Source organism: Homo sapiens, chromosome 8, assembly GCF_000001405.40.
Source record: "Homo sapiens chromosome 8, GRCh38.p14 Primary Assembly".
Classification (NCBI taxonomy): domain Eukaryota; kingdom Metazoa; phylum Chordata; class Mammalia; order Primates; family Hominidae; genus Homo; species Homo sapiens.
Genome location: NC_000008.11, coordinates 84,136,633 through 84,148,391, shown reverse-complemented (window position 1 = coordinate 84,148,391; position 11,759 = coordinate 84,136,633).

Genomic DNA, 11,759 nt, shown 5'->3' with positions numbered 1-11,759 from the left:
TTCTGAATTGTTTGATATTGCAATTTATTTATCTTTAAAAGGTTAGCAAGGATTATATGTCAAATCGTTTCTAGACATAGAGACCGAGCATAGTTGGGGATTTTCTAACCCTAATTATTCATTTGTTCATTAATTAATTTATCAATTCAGTCAACAGCTATCTAAGGAAAGCCTCCTAAATACTAGGCACTATGCTAGGTGCTTTTACAGAAGTTCATGCTTTAAAGATTTGAAACAATTAAAGAGTATTAGGAGTTCAAGGCCCAAAGAGGCTGAAACCTATTATTACAGCTTAATTTTAGAACACAATTGGCATGAACTACATAGAAGACTCAAAACCTTTTGAATCTGACCCTGTCATCTTTCTCTAAGTGATTTATCCAGAGATATGTTACTATTTTCTTGAGGCAAGATAGATTGAAATGACCTAAGGTTTTCATTAATGGTTTTCATTATTTTTTTTTGGTCTCAACTAATTGCTTCAGAATACCTCTCCAGTTTTAATATTCTTATAGTTAATATTTCAAGATTCTCTGATAAAAATTTGACTTCCCCTTAGGAAACCCAAAATCTGCAAAAGCAAAATGTTGAGCTTAAAAATGGTAAAATCAAGAAGTCAGACTTAGTAAAAATGTTAAAAATTTGAATAATTAATCATAATGATAATTATGCCCTGGCAATAACATACCTTGAAAGTTTCTTATTTTGCGACTCACCTCAAGATCAATTTTTGCCACATTCATCAGTGGTAAATGAAGGTGTGAGAGGGCTGTTGGGTAAGTATGACAGGATTTGGGTAGTTTGGTTTCAAATTCTAGCTCTGCCTCTTAGTCGCTGTGATTTTTGGACAATTTACTCAACCTCTTTAAATCTGTTTCTGAATCTGGAAAATAGGTTGATATTTTTATGTATTTCAAAATTTAGTTGTACTAGCAAGATAATGTATATAATGAAATTATTAAACTGTAAGTATTAAATAATTTATAACTTCAATAAATTGTGGGTTCAATAAAATTCATTTGAAATTCCCTAAGACAACATCTTTTTCTTTTCATTTATTTCAATACAGCAGTCATAATTATCTTGTTGAATTAAGTCAGATAAAAACAAATACCTCCCCATCTTGACATGTGAATCCTTACATGGGCTGTATTATTTGCTCATTTACTTTATTTCTTTACCCTCTCTTTGGTTTCTCTGTTCAGGCCACATGAGCTCAGGACTTTCTTGCTGCTCTTGGAACAGGAGAGGTACACTCCCGCTCCAAAGCCTATGCAGTTGATGTTGTCTCTCTCGGAATACCTTTTGACCTATGCACTGCAAAGTTTGTTCCTCACCTCCTTCAGGTCTTAACTCATATGTCATTTTCTCTTTAGTGCTATCTCTAACCATTCTGTTAAAAATTGTAGTCTACCTTCCAACACTTCCTACTCCTCTTGGCTTTGGTTTTCTCCATAACATTTATCACCATTTAGTATTAGGCTACAATTTATTTATTTATATTGTTTCTTGTTTGTCTCCACCACTAGAATATAAACACCATGAGAGCAGGAGTTTGTGTCTATTTTGCTCGATTTTGTGAGCCCACTTCCAAAATGAGTCTAGTATAAAAAAGACACGTAATAAGCATATGCTAGTATAAATTGTCCAAGTCAAAAAAAAAAGAAATTATTAAAGTGTGAATAAGAGATATGGAGGATCAGAATATATAGAAAGGCATTGTGATAACGGAGACTTGAGTTATACTATGGTATGGTTTGTATAAGACAAACCAATGGGAAATAAACCGCTTGGGAAGAATCATAAAGTTATCTTAGATCACCCTTGATTTTTTTTTCCTTTTTAAAAAAAATTTACTTCAAGTTCTGGGATATATGCACAGATTGTGCAGGTTTGTTACATAGGTATACATGTGCTGTGGTGGTTTGCTGCACCTATCAACCCGTCATCTGGGTTTTAAGGCCCACATGCATTAGGTATTTGTCCTAATGCTCTCCCTCCCCTTCCCCCCTCCCTCTGTCCAGGTGTTCTCATTGTTCAACTCCCACTTATGAGTGAAAACACGCAGTGTTTGGTTTTCTGTTCCTGTCATAGTTTGCTGAGAATGATGGCTTCCAACTTCATCCATGTACCTGAAAAGGACATTAACTCATTCTTTTTTATGGCTGCAAAGTATTCCATGAGATCACCTTTGATTATCTTAATTGTTTACCACTTATTTTAGGTAACAAATAACTAGGTATTTAATCAGCAAAACAGATATTATCATTGGTCTTAGCTAGTTTGCTATATTATGCTTATGATTCCATCCTTTACACTTTCTATCAACCAGAAATGTCTTATGGTATATAAATATAATAATAAAAAACAGTGTTGCCAAATACTCAAATAACCTGAGAAACCCTATACATTTATATGTTACAGATGAGTTATAATTTTGAATTATGCAGAGGCCACATGACTTAAGGACTCTATAGTTTTTTTCTACCATGTCTATTAACATAAACTTAAATTAACATTAAGTTATATTACATTTAAAAATCCACAGGAAGGGTACTCTTTGCATTTCTTAAATAAAACTTGAGTTTATTTTGAGTCAATGGAGGTTCTCTTTCTTTTGTGGTGCTCCAATGTATACAAAAATTTATTGAGTGTTGTTCCTTCCATACTGTATTATAGTATGAAAGATAGTTATCAATTTGTGCCATACTCCATCTCACTTTCAGAAGTATTTATGTCTAAAGGAAAAGTATGACCCATAAAATGATCTCTTTTAAACAAATAAATGGTGTAGGATATAACAATGTAACACTGTGCTTTTTACTTGACTTAATTTTATTTCCTTGTTTACATCTTAGATATTAGATGCATTAAATGAAATACTGTTATTGGTCTGAGACCATTTCATTGCTATTAGCTATACTCTGCATATTATCCAGTAATTTATGTTCTCTGTGGCATTGCCAAATGATCCTTACATTTGATAAACTGTATGAATTATTATATTCTTATTGAATTATAAGTAATTGCATCTGTTTCAGTTATTGAGACCACACTCTGCATCATTTGTGCATTTATTTTTATTGTTGTAAAATCAAGGCCTTAGCTAAATAAATTAGTGATAAGCCCGGAAATGTTTATGAAGAGTTTATATCATTAAGGAGTTGAGAGAGTTTTAGAAATTATTTTCAATGTTAATTCTTTTCAATCTTTCAATATTAATGTGCAAACTGAAAAATTTGTTTCTCATTTTGTGAATTAGTCAGCTTTGTGGGGTGCCTATAAAATTACTTTGTCTAAAAATATATTAAATTCTTTTATTATAGAACAAATTGCATTCTTTTGCCCTTGTCTGTGAAGACAGAAATTATATCTAACTTATTCTCCTATCACAGAGTATGGCAATGCTAAGTCCACAGTAGGTGTTCAGTAAATAGTTTTAACTAAGTAATAATCACACAACCAAAATTTTCTCTGTTTGCCATTTAGAAAGGAATTACAGTATTAAAAACATTAATCAAAAATTATCCTGAAGAAACTTACAGTCTCATAATAGTTTTAAATATTTTAAACTCTTGATTTTTCCTGAGATATTCTCAAATTTTCTCTTTTACTTTCATGAGTTCTGATAACCAATTCAACTCAGCAAGGACAAACCACCATGTGAGTAGATTAGAAGCAGAAAAGGCAAAGGTGTTTTTAGGGTGCATGGATCCCTTTAGTGATTCATGTCACTTGGAGCTAGTCTGGAATTATACATTGCTTTTCCTTGGAAAGTCCTAGTTTAGATCTGTTGTGCTGATGTCTAAATAAATTTTAGTATTTTTACTCCAAAATAGGCCCTGAATGAGATAATAAAATGCATAGTTTCCCTACCTATGATCCCCTATTCCTATGATCAGCAGTTTGTCACTTGATTTTCCAAGCTCCCACCCCATGAATACTTAACAATATGTAAGGATATTTAGAAAGCTTAACCTAGTAAGAGAAATTCTAATATTAAGTATATATAAGTACAAAAGTCATGCAAATTACCATTCCTTAATTCATTCAATAAGTGGGCCCACATAGCAGTGCCCGAGATCTGCTTCAAATTCCAAAGCCTCAGTCCCAATGTACCAGATGCTTCTTATCAAGCACCATCAGCAACAATGCTATTAACATCATAATGAAGGACAAGCATGATGGCACATTAGATATCAAAAGAATGGCTTATATATTTTGTCACCAAATTAGAGAAATTGCCAAACATCAAAACTGGCATTGAAAACTCTGCTTATTTCAGTGGAAGCTAGATATTATGCCTACTCTGCTTTTTCACACTTTATAAAATATTCTCAGTATATAACTATCTGGGCATGTGTACAAGTTTAAAATGTTATGATCACATCTTTAAAATAATTTCTCTTTTTATCTGTTACAATTTTGATTTGTGCCTAATACAAATGACTTTATTAATGGCCTTTTGATATCCAAAACTTTATTTTGTCCAAGCAATCAGAATAACAAATACAATTATTTGAACCAACTAATCTCATTTCAGGAGAACGAAACTATAAACCGTGAAACTATAAGCCTAGTTTCAATTTTCTATACATTTGATTTTCATGAGGACATAAGGATCATTTACAATCTGATGCATTTTTAAAAAGATGTGTACCCTAATAGATAAAGGATAAGTTTTAAATTCACGTAGATCTAGGCTTGAATCCCAAGTAAGTCGATTACTAGATTTGTGAGTTGGCCAAGTTATTTGCTCTTTTTTTTAGCTTCATTCTTCTGGTTTGTAAAAAAAAAAAAAAAAAACAATGCTTCCTTTCAGGAGGTTACAAGATTAGGTTGGATGATACATTCAATAAGTCCAGCACAGCACATTGCACATAATAAGGGCTTAACCTTCTCCTTGACTTTTCCCAACAAAATTGTCAGTGTGCTGAGGGAAAGAATTGTAATTATTCTTGGTAGCATCTCTTTTTTCCTCTTCTACTCTGCTCTATAAAAAAATGCCACGGATATGATAATAAATATATGCTACCTTCATTTAACAAATTCCAGGATATGATGATAAAGCTTAACATTTTTAGGCTTTTTCTGATTGTATGACTTTTTACAATTTTCATATTATTTTTTCATGGCTGTATGTTTTATTATTGGAGGAACTGAATAAAGCGCTAATGCTTTTTTTGTTTTAATACAATGCAGTTAAGCTGCAATCAACTTCATGTAACACTTTAACCTGTAGAACTACTGTGGTGGAAGTATTAAAACAAACAAACACACACCCAAAAGCAGCTGACATGGAGAAAAGTTAAGTGGGAAACAAGAGCTGTACGCAAAGGGCATTTCAAAGTTTTTTGGAGGACTATTCTTTTATTAACCTCTCTTATATTTGACTAATAGAAGGATATGAGTCAAATTGGGGATTAAATAACTGTTTGTTACTATTTTTTCCTTTAAAACTTTGGAGATGTTTTACTCTTTTCTAATGTATGGCCAAGGTAAAAAATCTTTTGACTTTCTGTGCTGCAGTGTCCTCTAGAGCTATCATAATGACTGTAGTATGCTTAATAAATTGCTTTGATATACATATTATATAGCCCTTATTGTCATGTTTGGTTAAATAGATGTGGCTAAATATACAAAAATCATCACTTAGGAAGCATAAAAATTATCAGGAAATACATTATATTAAAACTGGATGGTAAATTTCTAATAGCATCAATTAATTTTATGGAATTTTTGTAAACACTTTAAAATACTAATTTTGTATATTTGTCAAGGGAGGTTATTAATACCGAATAATCAGTATCAATAGAAAAACATCTAGACATCTTTGCTCAAGTTGCAAACGGTTTAATTGACAATGTTAATTTAAGTAAATAGATAATAAAAACAGACGAAAGTACAATAATCAAGCACATTCATATATTTTCTGTATTGATTGGCTTAACTAATGAAGGGAAAATTGGGTTTTACCTCTGACTCAGGTATGTTAAGCGTTAGACATGGAGAAGTCAAGTCAGTAGAAAGGTCAAGTAAAGAGGCAAAATAAGATAAGGACTGACAAATATTTCAGATTTAGCAAATAGAACGTGATGAGTACTCTTGACAAGAAAAAAAAAAACAAACAAGAAAACAAACAACATCAACAAAAAACTGAAGAATGAGTGAGAGACCAGGTTCCTAAGAGTTGAGGAAAAAAATGAAAAACGTTGGTGACAAAGTCAAGATAAGAATGCCAACTCTTATTGCAAAGAGGAAGGTTCAGGAGAGAAGAAAAAAGTTGAAATTCTAGATTAGGATATAGGATGAAGTACCTGCTGTTGCTGCTTCTGATTGGAAACACTAGTTTGAGAATATTCACATGTTAAAAATATGGTGCTGCTGCATAGACAGGTTCAAAATAAAAGGAGAGAGGGGGCAATATTTGTGAATCAAAATTGTCAGAAGATGACTGGAAAGAATGGAATTTAGCACATAGGTGAAGTGATGAGTATTAGACAAGATGAAGGGCTCATTTTACTGAAAGAAGAAAAGAAGTAAACATAGATGTTAATTTATTCTTCCTCTCATTTACTCAGTTAGCAAATATTGAAATATTATAATGACAGCTACTTTACTGCCAAGTCATTTTCCCACAAACTGTACTCCATCAGTTTCTCAAATGATCTTTTGGAAATACAAATCAATAATATGATTTTCCTTTTTAAAATTCAGTCGTGTCACTGTATTTTATACGTTCTGAGAATTCATTGTTAGGCAATTTTGTCATTGTGTGAAAATGATGGAGTGCACTAACACAAATCTCAATGGCACAGCCTACAACACATCTAGGCCACATGGTATAATCAATGGTTCCCAGGCTACAAACCTGTTCAGCATATTAATGTACTGAATACTGTAGGCAATTGTAACACAATAATAAGTATTTGTGTATCTAAACATATCTGAACATACAAAAGGTACATTAAGAACACAGTATTATAATCTTATGGGACCACTGTATATGTGGTCTGATGTTGCGTGAAATGTTATGTGGCACATGGCATGTTACGGGGCATGCAGTAGTTCACCAATGGATCATCAATATAAATTCCACATTCTCTAAAAAGACACACGAGGATCTGAGTCCTGTCTTTCTCTCTAATCTCTTCTCACCACCCTTCATTTCACCCCCTGCCCCACAACCATCCTCTTCAAATACACTGACCTACTGGCAGTAACCATATATTTTCTTCTCACTCAGAGTAAAGACCAACATTCTTATCAGAATTTTCAAGACGTTATATGATCTGCACATCTCCTGACCCACGACCCACTCCTGATCTCATCTTCTTCTACTTAGTATCTGTCTTATTTTGTCATTTTTTTCCCTGCTGTCTCTTGAGCTGGTCAAAAATGGTTCTCACTTGGGTCCTTCACAAGTGATCTTTCCCAAGATATTTACGTGACTCAGTTTTCTCTCTTCAATTCACTGCTCTAAGAAGCATTTCCTGTCTACCCTATCTATACAGCAACCTCTTCTCAAAACTGAGTTCTTGCTTCGATTTAGTGTTCTTCATATCTCTTATCACCACTTCATATATAATATTTAGTTTTTGTACTATTTTCCTCTCCCTATAAGAATATAAACAGCAAAAATCAGAGACTTTATTTTTCATGCAGCACTGACACATTCCTAGCAGCAGACTAGTGCCTGATACAGAACTGGAACTTTTCAAACATTTGTTAAATAAATAAAGAAGTAGATGAATAAATTGTGTGAACTAAATAACCTAATTCCTAGTAAAATTATATTTTTCATTTTAAATTAATGCTCTGGCATTCTGATTTTGGAGGGCTTGTTTCAAGCCACAAAGAGCCATATCAAACAACCAATGATGGTGTTAATTTACTAGAGTACCACTCAAACAGGACTCTCAGATGTCATGAGTAAAGGAATTTATTAAGTTGAACTTTTTTTGTTGTTTTGAAAGAATTGTATTTTATACTGTGCGTATAAACCACTTGTATAGTTTAAAAAGTGATAATATTCACATGTTCAAAAACTCAGCTTGACAAATCAGGCATTACTATACTTTTGAATCCCATGCACTCCTCCCAGGTCATGTTTCCCCTAACACCCTACAAGTAACCACTATTCTCACATAAAATGTGACCACATGTGCATAAACTTAAAAACACAGCATTTAGGCCGGGCATGGTGGCTCACGCCTCTAATCCCAGCACTTTGGGAGGCAAAGGTGGGCAGATCACAAGGTCAGGAATTCGAGACCAGCCTGGACAACATGGTGAAACCCCATCTCTACTAAAAATACAAAAATTGGCTGGGCATGGTGGTGGGTGCCTGTAATCTCAGCTACTTGGGAAGCTAAGGCAGGAGAATCTCTTGAACCTGGGAGGCGGAAGTTGCAGTGAGCCGAGATCATGCCATTGCACTCCAGCCTGGGTGACAGAATAAGACTCCATCTAAAACAAACAAACAAACAAAAAAACACAGCATTTAATTCTAAATGGATAAGACCTTTATTAATATTTATAATAAATAAATCACACTCTATGTTCTTCTGGAACTTTCATATTTTTGCCTTAAATTGTATTTTTTAGAGTTATCCATATTTTATTTCATTGATCTATCATTGCTGTATAGACATCAATTTAGTATACTTCCATTTACAGTCTGTTCTATCAAAAATATTTGGAATATATCCATGTTTTGTTATTATAAAATACACAGCCATCAACATTCTTGCACATGTCTCCAGCTGTAGATATGCAGAAATTTCTAGGGTATATTAAAAGGTCATGAGGCAAAGAACGCCTTTAGCTTTTCAGCTGTGCCAAATTAACTTCCAAAGAGAGTTACCATTTCAAACTCACAATAGACATGTTTCTCATTCCCACTTACACATGCTTTTGTTAAACTTTTAAATTTTTATAAATATGATATTAACAAATGGTATTCTTCTGTAGCTTTAGTTTGAATTTTCTTGATTACCAATGAGATTGGGCCCTTTATGTTTCCTCTCTGTAAATTGCCTATTCATGTTTTCTGCCAGTTACTCTCTTTTTCCCATATCAGTTCACTATGATTGTTTATTCTAGAAATGGGACTTGTTGACTATGTCTATGGTAGATTGAATCATTGTTTAACAAATATGTTTCTCTCTTATTTGGAACAGGACAGGTTGAGCTTGGCCCTTTGTCTTATTTTGGAGTGTGAATGGAAGTCACAATGTCTCTGTTCTAAGCTAACATGATAGGAGGAATACTAAATAGCTGACAGCTGTCTTGCTATCTCATCTTCTGCCATAAGTCTCTGTATGTGCTGAGCAGCTACTTTTCTCAGATGGAGGAAACACGTGGAGCTGACCTAAAGCATTCTTGACCAAGTGCAGCCCAACTCAGACTTCCTACATCTCATCACTCCCCTGTAGACATATGAGTGGAAAATAAATGCTTGTTATTGAAAACTACTGAAATAATTTCAGTAGTTGATTACTAGAATTATTTTTTACACAGCATTATCACAGGAATCTCAATTACTATATATGAGTTACAATATTTTTATTAAATCTGTGGCTTTCTGATCCTTTTTTAATGGTATCTTCATGAACATAAGTTCTTAAGTATAATTCCTCAAATATCACTTCAGTGATTTGAGATTATGTCTTGATTAGAAAACCCTTATTTCCAAATCAATTTTTTTCTTAGATTTTTTTCTAATAAAGTTTCCCTTTCACTCTTATGTACTTATTTGGGTTTTATTTTCATGAATAGCGAAAAGTAAAACGTCAATACCTCCCTTTCCTTCTTTTCTACCTTTCCTTTATTTTCCTTTCCTTCCTTTTATTCTCCTTTCTTTCTTTTCCCTGGCCTCTCTTAATCTTGTTCTCTCTCCTTCTCTCTCATTTTCTTTTGTGGTTATTCATTTGGCTAACTAATTTTTCTAACTTTCATTATTGAAAACTATTTTCTCATTTCCAATTTCGCTCATATATTAGGTTGCCACATATGTTTCGTCGTCTATGTCTGGATATGTTCTTTGTTTTCAAGCCAATTGGTATACAAATGAAATAATTTTATTCTCTCACAGAGACCGAGAGAATATGAAATTACCTTGTTACTATTTAGTGATCTAAAAAATTATAAACTAATTTTCCCTATTTTGCAATTACATACATTTGACTGAGATGCTGGAGACTTTGTCAGAATATTGACTTCTTTTCTAATAAAATATACTAGAGCCAAAATATATCTCTGAATTAATTATAAATTAGAGAGTTTTGGACTTTATTTGGGGCATTAGTTACTGAAATAACTTTTCTAAGATAGTTCTTCTCTAGAGAAGGCAGTCTCCCTCCATGGACTTAGAGGACACCCGTGTAGCCAGCAGAGTTCCAGTTTGCTACCACTGTCTCTTCTCTTTAATTGTTCATATGAATCTAAGAACCAGCTTTTCAAGCTTCATGAAAATAATTGGTAGAAATTTTAATTGAAATAGAATTGAATTTTTACATCATTTTCTTGGAAAAGGTACACTTTTACATTCCTGGATGTTTCTATATATGATTCAAGTTATTTAGGTCTTTAACATGTTTCAATAAAGGTTATGATTTTATAAAAAACGTCTACATATGTTGTGAGATTTATTTTTACTACCTTATATTTTTTGCTGTGCTCAGAGATAACAAATATTTTCATATGAGTTTATTTTATTTTCTAATGTGGACAAATTTCATATAATTCATCTTATATCTGTAGCAACCATCCCAATCACTCTTATTAATTCTGTCTGAAGATTCTTTTGGGGCTTCCGTGTTGAAAACAACACACCTGTATATGCTGATAGCTTTGTTTCCTTCTCAAAAATCTTATGTTTTTTCCTTTCTTCTTATTCTGGCTAATCTTTTTAGAATGATATGGAATAGCAATCAGGACAGTGGATATCATTGTCATATTCTTTAAGAGATGAATTATTTTAACCTATTAAATGTTATTTTTTTCCAGATTTTTATCACATTAGAGAAGTTCTCTTTTATTCCTATGTTACTAAACATGTTTTGTTTTAATTCATGAATGGTTGTTTTATGAATCTGTGGGGATTATCATACTTTTGTCTTTAACTTGTAAATGCAATAAATTATATTAATATATTTTCTAGTGCTGAATTAACTTTGCATTTCTAGAATAAATCTAACTTGGCTGTGTTATTATTTTATTAGATTTGATTTGCTAATATCTAAAAAAGATGTTCCCATCTTGTTTTGTATGTAGGAGAGATCAGCTTATAATGTTTCATTTTTACAGGGTTATTTTCTGTTTTTGCCATCAACGTTAAACTAATGCCATGAAAAAAGGAAAAGTTGGAAAAAGGCTTTCCTTTTTTATTACGTTATAGGCATGTACAAGATAGTAATTTTCCATTTCTGAAATCTGTGTTCAAAACTAGTCTATAAACTGATCTTAGTGTTTACTTTGTAGATACATTTTAAAATATTGCTTCCATTTCTTTAATGATTGTGTAGTTCTAATTTCTGTAATTGGAGTGCTACAATCAGAAATATGTGTTTACATATGAACAGTGTTATACAATATAAAATATATGCAGCATATCGTGCTCTAAAATCTGAAAAACTCTTTAATTTCAAAACAAAAAATATTCCCAAGAGTTTTTGTTAAGAAATCTTAGGTTTCTGGCTGATATTCTATTTTTTTGGCTCAATTTTGGTAAGTTATATATTTTTAAAAATCATTTG